The sequence below is a fragment of the Homo sapiens genome, chromosome 5 (genome assembly GCF_000001405.40).
Source record: "Homo sapiens chromosome 5, GRCh38.p14 Primary Assembly".
Classification (NCBI taxonomy): Eukaryota; Metazoa; Chordata; class Mammalia; order Primates; family Hominidae; genus Homo; species Homo sapiens.
Genome location: NC_000005.10, coordinates 80,109,808 through 80,128,204, shown reverse-complemented (window position 1 = coordinate 80,128,204; position 18,397 = coordinate 80,109,808). Strand labels below are relative to the sequence as shown.

Here is an 18,397-nt window from a genome sequence, read left to right as displayed (position 1 = left end):
GCCAGAAAACAAACATACTTTCAAAGACCCTTGGAAGACAAGCTAAGTTATGTCTAGTCATAAATTTTATCTAGAAATAAGTTTTGTAACCATTATAGTATTTTGTGTATATTTTTCTGCTTTTTAAGGTAAGTAAAGAGACTGATTCATTAGACTCAAAATATTAGTAAAAATTTATAAGATGTTGATAACTAAGTTTGAAATAATGTTCAAATGTTTAAATTGTTAAATCTTTAAATTTATAATTTATTAAATTTGTAAGGTTAAACTTTTTAAGTTCAGTATGTTTTCAGTGTTTATTAAGATTTTGCCTATAGAAATGTGAGTCTGCTTTGTTGTTTTTTTCCTTGAGAAATCAATTAAAATTAGATTGTAGTTTGAAATGTCTAAAACTTAATTCTGAAAGTTTGATAAATATTTGGGAGTACCTTATCAAATTTACAAGCCAGTTGGGCATTCATCAAAACCAAATAAAAGTAGATAATAAAATATTAACAAAACTGATTTATAAATTAACACAAGTTTAAAGTCTTCAAAATTAAGTTTTAAAACATATAATTTAAATATATAAAATATAAGTTGAAATTAAAGGGAGTATTTATTTCAATGCATAAAGGCTCTCTTCAGACATAAAGAAAACTCAGATGACATTTTGGAGGTAGGTGGTATCAGTCAGTGTCGGCTAAGTTATGCTGTGGTAACAAGCAACTCCAAAACCCTCAGTGGCTTACAATGACTAAAGTTCAGTTCTTGCTCACATTGTGGGCTACCGGTAGCTTTGCTCTAAGTTTTCCATCCTGGGACCAGCAGTCTGTATTTGGGATATTGCTGGTTTCATGGAAGAGAGAACGAACATAGTAGAACCATATGATGAATCAGAGCTTCTGCTTCGAAGTGGCACACATCACTTCTGTTATCATTGCATTGGTCAAAGCAAGTCTCATGGCCACTCTTGAGGTCAAGGAGATGAGAATATGTAATCCTCCCACAAGAAGGGACACCTCAAACCACATCTCTAAGGCTGATGCAATGAAGTGGGGAAGTATTATCTTCCCCAGGGTGGGGCAGCAAATATTTTGAGTAATAAAATCTACTGTAATGGGGAATAGGAGGTTTTTAAAAAATTCTTACAACTTAGTTTTTTCCCTGTCACATAGGCTGTCAGTATATCCTAACTTACAGAAGTGATTGTGATTGTGTCTGGGTGTTGGAATTATGGTGATTTTAATCTTCTTCTTTGAAAGTTTTTGATGATGAGTATATATTTATTTTGTAGACAAATTAACAATTTTTAATTAAAAATTTAAATTATACCAGGCTTGGTATCGCATGCCTGTAATCCTATCACTTTGGGAGGTCAAGGTGGGAAGATCACTTGAGCTTAGGAGTTTGAGGCCAGCCTGGGCAACATAGTGAGACCCTGTCTCCATTTTTATATAAACAAATAAGCAAAAATTTTGATGAAAAATTTTTTTGTAACCAAATTAAAATTTATGAATTTCATTTGTACAAAAAAGGCAGTGGATAACTAACTTGTTTTTAATATTGGAATGGTAGTATGTGCAGAACAGTGTTTTAGAAAAATACATCTCACAACATTGAAGAAGAAAATGTATGTTGGAGATTTTGTGTTTTAGATATATCTCAACCTGTCAGCTTTGAAAGAATGTGGCTATGAAATGGAGTGTGTTTGTTAAAGAAATAAGTAAATCAGTAAGTGAATGTTGGTTAGTTGGGTGGAGAAAGGCTTAGAAGCATCTAGCACTAAAAGATATATTCTTTTGTGGTTATCTGGCTGATGTCATGAAATTCTGACTTATACCACCAGGGAAGCTTACATTTCTCTTTGGCAGGGAACTTCAAATTTAGTACAGTTTGGACCTCACTGCATAGTCATAGTAAAAACTTTTGTACTTAATTGACTCTTCGTTTGCTTCTGGTTTTATAGTGGCCTTCCTGATGAACCAGCTTTTTATAATCCAAATTGGATCTGTGCCTACTTAATTGTTTCTGTCCCAATTCTACTTGGTGGTCAAGACTGAATCAGATTTTCGGTTCCTCCTTCTCCTCTCGTTTTGACTTTCCAGTGTATTCAACTGAATTTTCATCATAATGACTCCAAAGTACTCTTCTCTTCCTTTGTCTTGTGGTCACAAGAAAAATCACAAGATCACATTGATGGATGACTCATGAGCTCCTCATCTTTCTGATAGAGTCTCTGAACTGAACCAGCGTGAGTCTAGGTTTGCAGGAAGGCTTTTGATTCAGCCTTGTGATTCTCATGAATAGATGGCAATAGAATTAATTTCTCTCTCGATCTTGCTTTTCTTTTTCAACTAATAACTTTATTTACATCTATTTTCCTCCCTACCCAACCCACTGCATGTCCTTTTCTTGACCCAGGTGATGACGTTTCTTAAACCAGTTTGCTCTTCTCCGTATCCAAAGCTGCTCTCGTAGGTCACCATTATAACTCCACAGTTAATGCAGCAACTGCCCAGCTGAGTCTTCCCATCATCGGACGTCCCCAATCCATTCCAGCCATGGTGAGCTTTCAATAATGCAAATCAAGTCTTCAAGGTCATTCCTGTGTAGAAAGCCCATTGCCTTCTTCATATACTTACGGCTTTCAAGTTCCTTCATATCTAGTCTCTGTTCCCCTTTCTAGCCTACCTCCCAGTACTCTCACTCCAATATAGCTCATGTCAAACAGATACTACTTTTGGTTTCCTGAAATGCCTTTCCTTGACAGTGAACCTTGCTTCTGCCTGAAACACTCTCTCTTTCCCTATTTCTATCAAGCTCCCTGATTTTCAAGGTTCATTTCGGGCAGCATGCCCTCTAGGAAGCATTTCTTGGCAGCCTGATCCTCTGCCCAGCCTCTCATCTGATTTAGGCCATAGATTGAGCATAACATGTTTCACAGTATTGTAATTGTTCGTTTATGTGGTGGTATCTCCTCACATTGAGGGTAGAGATTGTGGTTTTGGTTTTTGTGTTTGTTTTATCATTGTATACCTAGCACCTAGCATAAGGTTGTGATGTACAATTGTTTGCTATATGAATGAATGAATGGATGGATGCCTTCACAAGAAAAATCGCTCACTAGACCATGTTGGTCAGTAGCAGGTACTGGGAGGCACAGAGTCAAGAGTCTAGCACGTGACACATGACAACTGTCTCACTGTGCCATCAGGAATGGAGTGGACCCCTATTGGGATGTCCATCCCCCTACCTTTTTTGGTTGGAACCATCCCTCTTCTCTCCCCTCCCCTCCACACAGTGACAGGGATGGGCTTCTGATTGCCATGTTCATAAACAAGACTACCTGCAACTACTCCCCACCCTGGGTGGGAGTTGGGCACTGTTAGTAAATTGGTCAAGGATGGTGCCTGACCCAAGGTGGTTCAGTCTGTGTCCTTCTCCAGGAACTTGGAATCAGGACGTACAGAGAGTTGCCTCTCTGCAGGTGACGAGATAAGCACAGGCCCTGTCCATGGTCATGTTTTTGGCCATTTGGACCAGAGAACCCGGTTTGCAAGAAGACAAGATTTCTAAGATCCAAGCTCGGATTGCTTTTCCAGACTCCGGCTCTAGGGTCTTCCCATGGCTGTGCAGCTTTCCTGAGCTTGAGGTTCCATGAAACACTCCTGCATCCTTACATGAAATTTCCTTGTATTTAAGCCCTAAATCTCCCTGAAAAACAAGGACTGTGGAAATAAATGAAGACCACCCAAATAAGAACAAACAAAGCCTACTATAGAGAGGTTGCAAGGTAGTCAGCCACCATCACTTGTGTTTGGCAGACACTTAAAGGCAGGCAGAGGTGTGGAAAAGCCTTGTGGTAGAAAAAAGGGAACACTTTGGGCGTGCCCTGAGACTGTTGGCACGGGGAAGCTGCAAGTGGGCCAGCTAGAAGTGCGGCATGCTATGTGATTGGTTGGGGGTGCCCATTTGGCTTTCTCTGGTTAGTCCAAAGTTGGAGGTAGGGGCAAAAATTATGGGAGCTGTCAGTTTATTAATCGAGTCCTGGCCATTTGGGGTCCATTGCTAAGGGGGTTATTGCTTTGCTTCCTGGATTGGTTACTGCAGATAATATGTTGGCTTCCCAGGCTAGTTGCCACAGATTGTGGGTCAGGGTTCTATTTTGATATCTAGTCTGGCCATCCGCATATTCAGTATCTCAGGACAATACCTCTCTCTCCTTCCTTCACTGGGAAACTTTTTAAAATCTTCTGAAATTTACCTGGTTAAGTGCATAATGTGTGCAGGAACAGTTTCAGCTTTCGGAAAGGGAGGATGTTTTAGAACAAGAGGCACAGAAACAAGGATATATGTGCCAGGCCAGGAAGCATTATTACAGGACACGATATCAGAATAAGCTACCTTCCCCTTCCATAACTTCCAGGGCTGGTGGAAAGGGGAGGTCAATACTGATGGACCCTGCACGTTCTCAGGTGCAAGGACCCACTGGGAGAGTGAAGGTGAGCACATTGGGCTTTGAAGTCATTTTGCTTAACTTTGTTTTCCTTGACAGCAGCTCCGCTTTTAAGTTTTGGATTTGGGGGCTGGTGAGATGGGGAGCTGGATCATCTCTGTTCAAAGAGCTGCAGCTGATGCCCAGACTATGTCACATTCTCACTATAAGGGCAGGAAGCTCCCTAACAGACAACTCAGCACAAGGAACTGAGCAAATGTAAAGCTAAGAGCATACTCAGATATCATCACTCTAACTTCCACCATCTCCCCATGTCACTTTTTATTAATAAAAAATAAGTGAGGAAGCTAGGCATGGAGGCTCACGCCTGTAATCCCAGCGCTTTGGGATCCTGGGATCCTCCCAGCTGAGATAGAAGGATCTCTTCAAGCCAGGAGTTTGAGACCAGCCTGGGCAACATAGTGAGACCCCATCTCTACATAAAAAATAATTTTTTTAAAAAAATCAGCCAAGTATGGTGGCATGTGCCTGTAGTCCTAGCTACTCGAGAGATTGAGGTGGGAGAACTGCTTGAGCCCACGATTTTGAGGTTACAATGGGCTATGATCACACCACTGCACTCCAGGCTGGGAAAGAGAGTGAGACTCCGTCTCAAAGAAAAATTGATGACAAAACAGATTAAGAGAATGTATTAGTTTTTTTATTGCTGCTGTGACAAATCACCACAAATTTAACAACATAAATTTATTAGTGGACAGTTCTGTAGTCAGAAGTCCAGGCAGGCTTGCCTGATTTCTATGCTCAGGAATAGCACAGGGCTGGAAATCAAGGTATTGGTTGCAGAGCTTTTACCTGGAGGCACTGAGAAAAATCTGCTTCCAAGTTCATTCCAATTATTGGCTGAATCCAGTTCCTTACAGCTGTAGGTCTGAGGTTCCTCTTTCCTTGCTGACTGTTAGGCAAGGGCCACTTTCAGTTCCTTGAGGTATTCCTTCTCACGTGGTGCTGCCATCTTCAAGCAGCAATGGCACTTGAGTCTTCCTCATACTTCAAATCTCTCCGAATTCCCCTTCTGTTGTGTAAAGGGCTCTTGTGATTAGATCAGGATCACCCAGATCATCTCTGTATTTTAAGGTTGACTGACTTGAAACTTTAATTACATTTGCAGAATCCCTTCACAGGAGTACCTAGATTTGTGTTTCTCAGGGAGGTTATGATGGTTAATACTGAGTGTCAACTTGATTGGATTGAAAGGATTGATCTTGGGTGTGTCTGTGAGGGTATTGCCAAAAGGGATTAACATTTGAGTCAGTGGGCTGGGAAAGGCAGACCCACTCTTAATCTGGGTGGGCACAGTCTAATCAGCTGCCAGCACTGCTAGAATATAAGCAGGCAGAAAAATGTGAAAAGAAAGATGGGTCTAGCCTCCCACTCTACATCTTTCTCCCGTGCTGGATGCTTCCTGCCCTCAAACATTGGACATCAGATCGGCCTGCAGATGGCCTATTGTGGGACGTTGTGATCGTGTGAGCTAATATTTAATAAACTCATATTATATATATATATATACTATTAGTTCTGTCCCTCTAGAGAAGCCTGACTAATACAGAGGTCATCCCTAGAATTTGTCCTACTACAGAGAGATTGCAATTTACACCATATGAGAATTGTGAATAGAATAAAATGTTTGCACAGATGCTGGGTACTGTGTAATTGTTATTTGGAGGTGGAGAAAGGGGGTGAACATTTCCTGACTGATATGGTTTGGATGTGTGTCCCCTCCAAATCTCAGGTTGAAATGTGATTCCCAGGGTTGAAGATGGGACCTGGTGGGAGGTGTCTGGGTCGTGGGGGCAGATCCCTCATGAATGGTTTTGTGCCCTCCCCGAGGTAATGAGTGGGTTCTCACTCTATTAAGTTCACATGAGAGCTAGTTGTTTAAAAGAGCCTGGCATCTCCTCCCCCTCTCTTTCTCTCTCTGTCGCCATGTGACACACCTGCTTCTGCCATGATTGGTAGTTTCTTGAGTCCTCACCAGAAGCAGATGCTGGTGCCATGGTTGTACAGCCTGCAGAACCATAAGGCAAAATAAACCTCTTTTTAAAATAAATTACCCAGTCTCAGGTATTTCTTAATAGCAATGCAAAATGGATTAACACACTGACTATAGGTTAGTTGTAAAATAGATCCCAAAAGTGTATGATATAGTTTAGATGGCCCCTCCAAATCTCATGTCGAGATGTAATCCTCAGTGTTGGAGGTGGGGCCTGGCGTTTGGGTCATGGGGGTGGATGCCTCACGCCTTGATGCTGACCTTGTGATAGTCAGTGAGTTTTTGTGAATAACTAGGGGACAGCAATCTCAGGGAGGTCATCCTGAGATTCCTCACCACCACACCAACTCTCACTCTTGATTCTACTCTGCCATGTGAGATGCTTGCTCTGGCTTTAAGTAAAAGCTCCCTTAGGCCACCCCAGAAACTGAGCAGATGCCAGCACCTTGCTTGTGCAGCCTGTAGAATCATGAGCCAGTTAAAACTCCTTTCTTGGAAAAACAGACAAACAAACAAACTCCTTTCTTGGCTGGGTGCGTTGGCTCATGCCTGTAATCCCAGTACTTTGGGAGGCCAAAGTGGGCGGATCACCTGAGGTTGGGAGTTCGGGACCAGCCTGACCAACATGGAGAAACCCCATCTCTACTAAAAATATAAAATTAGCCAGGTGTGGTGGCACATGCCTATAGTCCCAGCTACTCAGGAGGCTGAGGCAGGAGAATCACTGGAACCTGGGAGGCGGAGGTTGCAGTGAGTCAAGATCGCGCCATTGCACTCCAGCCTGGACAACAAGAGCGAAATTCTGTCTCAAAAAAAAGAAAAAGCCTCCAAAACTCCTTTCTTTATAAATTAAAGTCTCAGGTATTTCTTTATAGCAATGCAGGTATTTCTTTTCTTTTTTTGAGACAGAGTCTCACTCTGTCCCCCAGGCTGGAGTGCAGCCTGAAACTCGGCTCACGCAACCTCTGCCTCCTGGGTTCAAGCGATTCTTGTGCCTCAGCCACCCGAATAGCTGGGATTACAGGCGCCTGCCCCCACACCTGGCTAATTTTTTGTATTTTCAGTAGAGATGGGGTTTCACCATGTTGGCCAGGCTGGTCTCAAACTCCTGGCCTCAAGTGATCCTCCTGCCTCAGCCTCCCAAAGTGCTGGGAGGTGTAAGCCCCCACGCCTGGCCATGGGTATTTCTTTAAAGCAACTATATTATAACCTAATATGGTATATGAGCTTATTTCTCGTTTGCAGAAGAGTCCAAGGCAGGCATTCTAGTTGATGGATAGCTTTCCCCTACCTAGTAACTCAGGCATACAGGCTCCTTCCATGTTGTAGATCCCCAGTTCCCTAGAACCTGTCACCTGCATCCAAGTGATGTAAGACAAAAGAAAACCTGGAGGAGGCATATCTGTTCCTTAAGCCTTTGCCAAGAATAGGTACTATAACTTAGAACCATATCCCCTTGGTGAGAACTAGTGTGGCCGTGCCTGGCTGCAAAGGGTGCTGGGAAATATAGTCTAGTTGTGTATGAACAAGAAGAAGAAATGGATTGGTGAATAGTAGCAGTCTCTGCTTCAATCTACTATGAGCAGGCACTTTACATAATTATCATTGAATTAACACCACTACCCTGACAGGTATAGCCCCCCCTTTATAGAAGAGGAAGTTGAGATCCAAAAAAATGAAGTAACTTGCCCAAGGTCCCACAGCTATTATGTGGACGACCCAGGATTGGACCCTATTTCTGTTTAGTTTCCAAACTCTTACTCTTTCCAGTATTACATATTGACTCCTAGGTAGCAAGCCCCTACCTAGGTTGGACTATAATTTGATTGCTATGGTTGAACCAGAATTACCAAAGGGGGTTATTTAAAATGGTTGGTTCCTATCCCCACTCTGTTGAAGCTTTGTTTAACCAGCCTGGTAGAGGCCCAAAAATGTGCATTTAAACAAGCTCTCTGGGTTATTCAGATGTGCTGTAATGTTTGTAATATACCAGAACAGCTTTCCCTTCTGGGATGGGGAAATCATTAAGGTAAATTCCCAGTTGCCATCTGGAAAAGTCCTCCTCTCTGGGATTTGGGATCATAATCTATTTATGAATTTCTGGAACTTCTCCAGTGTAGCTGACCTTCCATCTGTAGGAATGGCGTCATGTGGAGGGATTCAAAGAATAGTTAACAACAGTGCAGTGAGTGCAGTTAGTTCTATGTGCCTGCCCTGGTGGCCCTGTTCTCTGCTGACAAACCCACCCAGCTGATCCCTGCACTGCTTAGATTGGGGTCACTATTGGGTGCCTCTAATTCGCTCCTTTAGATCCCTGTGGAATCTTACATAATTGGTGATATTGGCTGTCTAGGCCACTGGTTCAGCCAGTTTGTCACCCCACCTTCACTAAGGATAGACTGTTTGCAGACTTGTGCTAGACTTGTGAAGGAAGCAGAGATAACTCCAGCTCTTAAGAGCTTGTAGACTAGTGGGGTAAACCTACCACTAGTAATGAGAGCTACCAATTATCCAGTACTTTTAACATATTAGCTTATTTAATTCTTTCAAACAACCCCGGGACATAGCATTATTGGCATTATTGGCCCTTTTCCAGAAGCTGAGGTTCAAAGATATTAAATAACTGAATCAAGGTCATCCAACTAGTGAGTGATGGTGGGGCTGGTATTGGAATCCAGGTCAGTCTACTTCTAAAGTCCATGTTCTTAGGTACTCCAAGTAGTGGACCAAATGTTGGTGTAATGGACTGAATATTTATATCTCCCCAAAATTTATATGCTGAAATCCCAGCCCCCAGGGTGATGGTATTTGGGAGATGATTAGTTCATGAAGATAGAACCTTCATGAATGAAGCTGGGTGCAGTGGCTCATACCTATAATGCCAACACTTTGGGAGGCCGAGGTGGGTGGATTGCTTGAGGCCAGGAGTGCGAGACCAGCCTGGCAGCCTTGTCAACATGGCAAAACCCCATCTCTACAAAAAAAAAAAAAAAAAAAAATTAGCTGGACATGGTGGCATGCGCCTGTAGTCCCAGCTACTCAGGAGGCTGAGGTGGGAGGATCACTTGAGCCTGGGAGGCAGAGGTTTCAGCTAGCCAAAATTGTGCCACTGTACTCCATCCTGGGGGACAGAGTGAGACCCTGTCTCAAAAGAAAGAAAGAAAAAAAAGAGACTAGAAGCCTTATAAAAGGAAGAGAGATCCCTGGCCCCTTCCGCAATGAGGACATAGTTAAAAGACCTCACCAGACACTACAGCTTCCAGTGCCTTGATCTTGGACTTCCAAGCCTCCAGAACTGTGAGAAATAAATGTTTGTTGTTTGTAAGCTACCCAGCATCTGGTATTTTGTTATAGTTGCCTGAACAGTCTAAGATAGATGGTTCCCAAAAAGACGTCTACATCCTAATTTCCAGAACTGTAAATGTTAACTTTGCAGACGTAATGAAATTAGGGATCTTGATTTGAGGAGATCACCCTGGATTAGCCAAGTTATTATTATTATTTTTTTTTTGAGGTGGAGTCTTGCTCTGTCACCCAGGCTGGAGTGCAATGGTGTGATCTCAGTTCATTGCAACCTCCGCCTCCCAGTTTCAAGCAATTCTCTTGCCTCCACCTCCTGAGTAGCTGCAATTACAGGAGCCCGCCACCACGCCTGGCTAATTTTTGTATTTTTAGTAGAGATGGGGTTTCACCATGTTGACCAGGCTGGTCTCAAACCCCTGACCTCAAGTGATCTGCCCACCTCGGCCTCCCAACATGCTGGGATTACAGGCATGAGCCACCATGTCTGGCATGACAAGTGTTTTTATAAGAGACACACTGAGGAGAAAACAGACACAGATGAGATGATAAGAAGACTAGGTAGAAATTGGAGTGGTGCAGCTACAAGCCAAGGCATGCTGACAGCCACCCAAAGCTGGAAGAAGTAAGTAATAGATCACCCCCTAGATCCTTTGGAGGGAGCACAGCCCTGACAACATAGTACTTTCAGACTTCTGGTCTTCAGAACTGTGAGAGAGTAACTTTCTGTGTTGTAAATCACTGGTTTGTGGTCTTTTTTTTTTTTTTTTTCAGTAGCCACAGGAAGACTAGTACATTCTATTTGTTTTATAAGAGCAAAACCACAAGGCAGCATATAATTCAAGGCTGAAGGAGTGTGGCATGCTGACAGATGGTAAGAAAAGCTGAATGTCAGAGAAAGATACCAAATCCAGTCAGTGGCTCTGTGTGATTATCAGTTAGTATGTGTCCTTTTCTCTTGTGTCCAACTTACATCATCACCATCACCTATTATTGAGCACTTAATATGTGCTAGGTACCAAGCTAAGTGCTTTGCCTAGATCACCTCAGTTAAGCCTCGCACTAATTCTATGAGGTAGGTGCCAATATTTGCCTATTTTACAAATGAGGAAACTGAGGCTCAGAGAGGTGAGGTCCCATCTGCAGTTGGACTGTGAGTAAACGGCAGAGTGAGGACCAGAACTCAAGTGTGTCTTACTGCAGAGTCTTGGCTTACGCAGTTCCTAGCCATCTTCCGTGTTAGTTTGTTCTTCTGCATATAGTCATTGTAGTTAAGAGCTCTGGGCCAGGCATGGTGGCTCACACCTGTAATCCCAGCACTTTGGGAGGCTGAGGCGGGCGGATCGCCTGAGATCGGGAGTTTGAGACCAGCCTGGCCAACATGGCGAAACCCCGTCTCTACTAAAAAACACAAAAAATTAGATGGGCCTGGTGGCACTCGCCTGTAATCCCAGCTACTTGGGAGGCTGAGGCAGGAGAATCAGTTGAACCTGGGAGTCAGAGGTTGCAGTGAGCCGAGATTGTGTCAGTATACTCCAGCCTGGGCGAGAGAGCAAGACCCCGTCTAAAAAAAAAAAAAAGAGCTCTCCAGTTTCTGGTCACCAGAAAGTCACTTGAGCCAGTGGGGGTGGAATGAGGCCTGGCTCTATGAACCTGAGTCGTCTAGTGTAGGACATCCCCCTCCAGGCCAGAGCAGCCTGCCTCTGTGGATGTTTGTTAATGAACGAGTGAACATATGGTTGGGCTGCCAGCAGAGCTCTGCCTATCTCAGGGCCACAGGAGGCATTTATGTCATCCTCTTGGTAGGTATGCCACTAGCGTCTGAGCTCAGTTACTGAGCTTCTTCCCACTGAGGAGAAAAGGCAGGTAAGCCTGGCTCTCACTCTCTGCCTCACCCACTAAGCCTGGAGAGTGGGGAAGGAGGGGTATGGAGATTATAGCATGCAAGTCCCAGGGAAGGGAACGGAGAAAATGGACTGAAGTTTCTGATAAGGTTCATAGTGATCTGGATGGCCTGGGCCTGTCCCATTCTCTGTCCAGGAAGAGGAAGGGAACACAAGGTGAGATTTTGATTTCTATTTTGTTCCCAGAAACTATCAATGCTGAAGACTTAAGGCCTCTTAAGAATACCCTTTTTGCAAGAGGGGATGGAAACATCTCTGGCCCCAACTCCGACAGGAAAGCCTGGTTTTAGCATTGAAAAGATGATTGAATACAGCTTGCCTTTTCTCCAGGGAAGAGAGACAAGATGGAGTGCCAGAGAGGCCTACGGCAAGGTGCCTATTTTTGCATTGCTGCAGCAACGTGGAGGCTTTCTGCCCTGCCTCACACCCCTCATCCATCAGCCCCAGCCTTCCCCATCATGGTTCTCTCAGATGAGGCCTGATTGTTGATTTCTTTCACGTGTGTGTGGAATTAACATCTTCTATCCCTTTCAATGTTGAATTAACTTAGTGACGAACTCATTAAGGACTCCTTATCAAGGCTTTCCCTCCTTTCTATAATTTTATCCATTGTCAGCTTTGACAGAAATCCCACTGAAGGTTTGTCAAAGAGCCATTGAAGAGTTCTAAGTGGTCTTGCTTGCAGAGGGCAACTGCACTTGACCTCTATTTATACTTTTTGTAGTACTCTTGCCTGGACTCAGAGATGCAACTGGGATTGAAATTATATTTACCAAACATCAACATATTGATGTTAGACCTTAAAAGAAGAAAACGTAAAACAGCATACAGTCTTTTTGCAGTAAACAGTAAACTCAGGAAATTTTTATTCATTGATTCCTTCCTTCAACAAAATTATGGTTAAGAATACCTGCTATTTGTCAAATTCTAAGATTATGAAATAGAACAAATTCTACCCTCAACTTACTCAAAGTCTAGACAGGGAAGCAGAAAATAGCAAATAATTACTATATGTTGTGATATGTACCACAGCCTGAAGAGAAATATACTGAAAACTGAGAATTCAAAAAAGATTGAATTAATAGTTGGTGGGTTCATAATAAGCAACTACAGTAAATGAGGAATATTAGAGGGTTATTCTGAACCTGCTAAGGTCATTGGAGAGACAACCTTGGATGATAGGTCTGGTTCCTGGGTGGGTTTTGAGCAAGGCTTGGGCTGGACCTGGGGTGCATTTGAGCTATACCGTGTGCCCCCAGTTTCACCCTAGCAGTGATGGTCCTTGGCAGCAGTTTATCTGCTTTATTTCTCCCCACCCATTTTTATAGTAAAACGTCTGCTAAAAATGATGTCAGTAAAAGCAGTCGCTATAGTGAAGTTGAATGTCATTTCTGGGACACTGGGTGTGTAACAGTTGCATGTAGGGAGTGGGTGGCTCCACTTTCCCTAATCAAAGACAGGGAAGTCCTGGCATTGAGCCAGGAGGGTTGGGCAACTGGATTGGGCGGCAGAAAATCAGTCATTGTCTCTGCCTTTTCCCTGGTTTATGGAGTGTCACAGATCCAGAGACACACATTTCTTGTCTATAAAATGGGAATAATGTTTGCTTCCACCTTACTCATTTAAAAACATTTCTTACAATTCCTAGTCAGAGTTATTTGTCAAAAAGCTTTTGTGGGTGGTGATATGGTTTGGCCCTGTGTCCCCACCCAAATCTCATCTCAAATTGTAATCCCCCCATGTTGTGGGAGGGACCTGGTGGGAGTGATTGGATCATGAAGGCGGTTTCCCCAATGCTGTTCTTGTGATGGTGAGGGAGTTCTCACAAGATCTGACCTTTTTTTTTTTTTTTTTTGAGATGGAGTCCCACTCTGTTGCCCAGGCTGGAGTACAGTGGCATGATCTTGGCTCACTGCAACCTCCACCTCCCAGATGTCAAGCGATTCTCTTGCCTCAGCCTCCCAAGTAGCTGGGGTTACAGGCATGTGCCACCATGGTGAGCTAATTTTTGTATTTTTAGTGGTGATGGGGTTTTACCATGTTGGCCAGGCTGGTCTCGAACTCCTGACCTCAAGTGATCTGCCTGCCTCAACCTCCCAAAGTGCTGGGATTATAGGTGTGAGCCACTGCACCCAGCCGTGATCTGATGATTTAAGAGTGGCAGTTTCTTCTACATGCTCTTTCTCTTCTGCTGCCTTGTAAGATGTGCCTTGCTTCCCCTTCACCTTCTGCCATGATTGTAAGTTTCCTGAGGCCTCCCCAGCCATGCAGAACTGTGAGTCAATTAAACCTCCTTTCTTTATAAATTACCCAGTCTCAGGTAGTCTTTATAGCAGTATGAAAACAGACTAATACAGACGGCCAACATTTTGGTTAGGTGAAGACGTTTAGCTTTCAGTTGTTTGTTTGGGCCCACTCCTTGTAACTTAGCATGGAGACGGTGCTGAAGAAATGGGGCTAGGGCAGGTCATTGTTAATTGAGGGAAGGATCCTGGGAACATCGGGTTATCTTGAGGACACCCAGAGATGGGAGTGTGAATGGAAGTACCCAGAGTCTGGCAGCAAAGGCACCAGGCCTGGGGAGCCTCGCCCACAGGCATGGGTGGGGGGGCACACAGCATGGCAGAGGTTATGGGTGGGTGCCATCAGGTGGTGATGCATGATATAGTTTGGCTGTGTCCCCACCCAAATCTCAACTTGAATTGTATCTCCCAGAATTCCCACATGTTGTGGGAGGGGGCCAGGGTGAGGTAATTGAATCATGGGGGCCGGTCTTTCTCGTGCTATTCTTGTGATAGTGAATAAGTCTCATGAGAGCTGATGGGTTTATCAGGGTTTTCTGCTTTTGCTTCTCCCTCTTTTTCTCTTGCTGCTGCCATGTAAGAAGTGCCTTTCACCTCCTGCCATGATTCTGAGGCCTCCCCAGCCATGTGGAACTGTAAGTCCAATTAAACCTCTTTTTCTTCCCAGTCTCTGGTATGTCTTTATCAGCAGCATGAAAACAAACTAATACAATGCATATCCCCTCGTTCCCCATCCTTGCTCTCCTGAAAATGAGAGCACTGAGGATGTGTCCAGACCCGTCACAGAAGAAACATGAATGGCTATGCCACTCAGAAAAAAATGTTCAGCCACACGAGAGTCAAGCAGAATGCAGACTAGAAATGATACTAGTTTTACCTACCAAATTGGGAAAAAATAAAAGAAGATAATGGACAATGCTGATCATTTCTTGAAACAGGCACTATGGCTAGAGGGGATGAATTTGTTGAAGCTTTCTGGAAACAATTCAACAACATCTATCAGGAACTTTAAGAATATTTAACCTTTTGTTCCAATATCCCAATCCTGGAAACCTATTCTAAGGAAAAAAAGAGATTATAGGGTTAGAGATTTCAATAAAAACATGGCCAGAATAAAATTATTTATATTGGAAAAAGAATTAAACAACTTCAATGGCCCCAAATAGGGCAAGCATTAAGTAAACAATAAAAATATCCATAGGGGAGACTATTATGCAGCTATTAAAAAAATCATACTATTTTTGAGACACGGTCTCACTTTATTGTCCAGGCTGGAGTGCAGTGGTGCGATCACAGCTCACTGCAGCCTTGAACTCCTGGGCTGAACTGATTCTCCCACCTCAGCCTCTCGAGCACCTGTGACTACAGGTGTGCACCACCATGCCCAGCTAATTAAAACAATTTTTATTTATTTATTTATTTTTTAGAAATGAGGTCTCATTATGTTGCCCAGGCTGGTCTTGAACTCCTGGGTTCAAGTGAACCTCCTACCTCGGCCTCCCAAAGTGCTGGGATTACAGGCGCGGGCTATTGCACCCGGCCTAAACATCACATGAAGGGGTGGTTTGCCCCTCCACACCTGTGGGTATTTCTCGTCAGGTGGGACGAGAGACTGAGAAAAGAAGTAAGACACAGAGACAAAGTATAGAGAAAGAACAGTGGGCCCAGCAGACTGGCGCTCAGCATACGGAGGACCTGCACCAGCACCGGTCTCTGAGTTCCCTCAGTATTTATTGATTACTATTTTCACTATCTCAGCAAGAGGAAGCGGCAGGAGAACAGGGTGATAGTGGGGAGAAGGTCAGCAAGAAAACGTGAGCAAAGGAATGTGTGTCACAAATAAGTTCAAGGGAAGGTACTATGCCTGGATGTGCACGTAGGCCAGATTTATGCTTCTCTCCACCCAAACATCTCAGTGTAGTAAAGAATAACAGAATAAAGAATAATTGCCGCCAGCATATCTCGCCTCCTGCCAGTGTGGTTTTCTACAATCGGGTTTTATACCGAGACATTCCGTTCGGTATGAGACAGAGGCCTTCCTCTTTTACTAATTCTCCTCAGCACAGACCCTTCACGGGTGTCGGGCTGGGGGACGGTCAGGTCTTTCCCATCCCATGAGGACATATCTCAGGCTGTCTCAGTGGGGAGGAACTTTGGACAATACCCGGTTTTCCTGGGCAGAGGTCCCTGCGGCTTTCCGCAGTGCATCGTGCCCCTGGTTAATCGAGAATGGAGAATGGCGATGACTTTTACCAAGCATACTGCCTGTAAACATATTGTTAACAAGGCACATCCTGCACAGCCCTAGATCCCTTAAACCTTAATTCCATACAACACATGTTTCTGTGAGCACAAGGCTGGAGAAAAGTTACAGATTAACAGCATCTCAAGGCAAAACCATTGTTCAGGGTACAGATCAAAATGGAGTTTCTTAAGTCTTCCTTTTCTAAATAGACACACTTGTGATACCCTAACTTGTATTAACCTGATTGACTCTCTCTTAGCTGAGAAACCTGAACGGACTCCATTTGGCTCCTTCATTTGCAAGACATCAAGGGCTCCTTACCCACCCCCTTCCTCAAGGAATTAACTTGTGCAAGCTGACTCCCAGCACATCAAAGAATGCAATTAACTGATAACATGCTGTGGCAAGCTATGTCCGCAGTTCCCAGGAATTTGTCCAGTTGATATTACCCTAAGCCCCTGTGTTTTTGTCTGGTTGATAGCACCCAAAGCCCAGCGTCTATCACCTTGTGATGGATTTAAAGCCCCTGCACCTGGAACTGTTTGCTTTCCTGTAACCATTTGTCTTTTTAACTTCTTTTGCCTGTTTTACTTCTGTAAGACTGCTACAGCTAGGCTCCCCCTCCCCTCTCTAAACCAAAGTATAAAACAAAATCTAGCCCCTTCTTCAGGGCCGAGAGAATTTTGAGCACTAGCCGTCTCTCGGTCGCTGGCTAATAAAGGACTCCTCAATTCGTCTCAGAGTGTGGCGTTTCTGTATAACTCGCTCGGTTACAACACAGTAACAGTCTGATCCCCCCTTTTTTTTCCCCTACATCATACTTTCAAAGAATAACTGACATGGATAAATAGTTTTCCTACAGTGTTAACTTTTTGGTGCTGGGGATCTCCAGTGCCGTATACAGACCACACCTGTGCATGTGAAAGATTGGAAGGATATTTTCCAAAGTGCTGAAACATCATTTCTGAGTTGTAGGATTGCAGGATTACTTCCTTCTTTACATTTTCCAATATTTTCTAAATATTCTAAAGTGAATTGCACAATTTTGATAAGGGGGAAAAGATGTCATTAAAAAATGATTGCACCTGCCTGACTGCAGCCAGTGCTCCCTGCTGCCAGTGGATCCTCTGCCTTTGGCAAGAGGCAGATTTCATGAGCCTGGAGACCCTGCCAGGAAAAAGTGCAAGGAATTAGAACAATTCACCCTGGGGTCTGGCCAGGCCCGGTGGAGAGAGGGATGGGGCAGAGAAGCCCATCTGGGAAGCATTTTTCTCAGGTACATCCCCAAATTGAGCTGTGCCCACCTATGGACTCCAAGGACCCCAAGTTAAAGAGCACTTGCTGGTGCCGGACTGAAGGCCCAGCTAAATGCCACCTTGACTCTGGGGCTGTGTGCCCAGTGCCACCCTGAAGAGTGAGGGGATGTGGCTGGACAGATGCTCGGGTAGACCCAGCTTCTGTCCCCCGCTCTGAGCAGCTCAGAGCAGCCAGTGAAGAGCAACACACTTCGCTTCAAAAACCCACAGAGCAGCTTGACAGGGAGTTCTGGTTTCTGCTCCAATGCATTTGAGACTGAAATTTCCCCCCAATGTATTGTCTAGCACTTTTCCACTCTGCTCAGTAACAGCAGCATTGCCAGGGAGCAGGTTAGACGTGCAGAGGCTCAGCTCCGGTTTACAGAATGAGAATGTGCAGTTCAGCAAATCCCCAGGGTACTCAGGAGCACTGAGTTTGCAGCACTGCTCAGCTCCCCTCACAGGGGGATGGACCTCAGACTGGGCTGGGCTCGGGGGAGCAGGGAGGAGGAGGAGAGCACTGAGGAGCTGCGGAGCGGGGGCCTGTGGGAAGCCCACTCCAATCAGGTGGGATGGAAGCAGAAGTGGCTCCTGAGGGGAAGCAAGAGCAGCTGGACAGAGCACTGAGTGGCCCTCGTTTCTGCCACTTGGGGTGAAAGAGGCGGGGCAATAGCTTATTCCAGGGCAACCTCCTCCAGGAATGTGTGGGGTATGGGGATAGTATCTCCCTGTTCCTCACAGGGTCCCTGGAGCTTGGTAGGAAGCAGAAGGTATTATTTTCATTTTCCAGATGGTTTTATAGGGGCTGGGGGAGGGAGCCTGGGAGGTTGCCAGCCTACTGGGAAAGCTCAGAGCCCTC

At 44.4% G+C, this 18,397-nt stretch overlaps 1 protein-coding gene across 4 annotated transcripts in view; it reads left to right on the top strand.

The window, feature by feature from the left end:
* Positions 1-16,980, top strand: part of SERINC5 (serine incorporator 5) — a 144,824-nt gene extending 127,844 nt beyond the window's left edge. Inside the window, exons 12-14 of one of the 4 annotated variants that reach the window (NR_126060.2) lie at positions 13,554-13,691; positions 14,580-14,633; positions 16,503-16,980. Coding sequence is in view for 2 of the 4 variants with exons in the window: in NM_178276.7 (NP_840060.1) it covers positions 14,571-14,604 (34 nt within the window). In the remaining 2 variants the exon portion in view is untranslated. Of the gene's footprint in view, positions 1-11,881; positions 12,068-13,553; positions 13,692-14,570; positions 14,634-16,502 lie in introns of all 4 variants that reach the window. The other 3 variants (NR_126061.2, NM_001174071.3, NM_178276.7) reach the window with 3 other exon arrangements.
* The last annotated feature ends 1,417 nt before the right edge of the window (positions 16,981-18,397 follow it).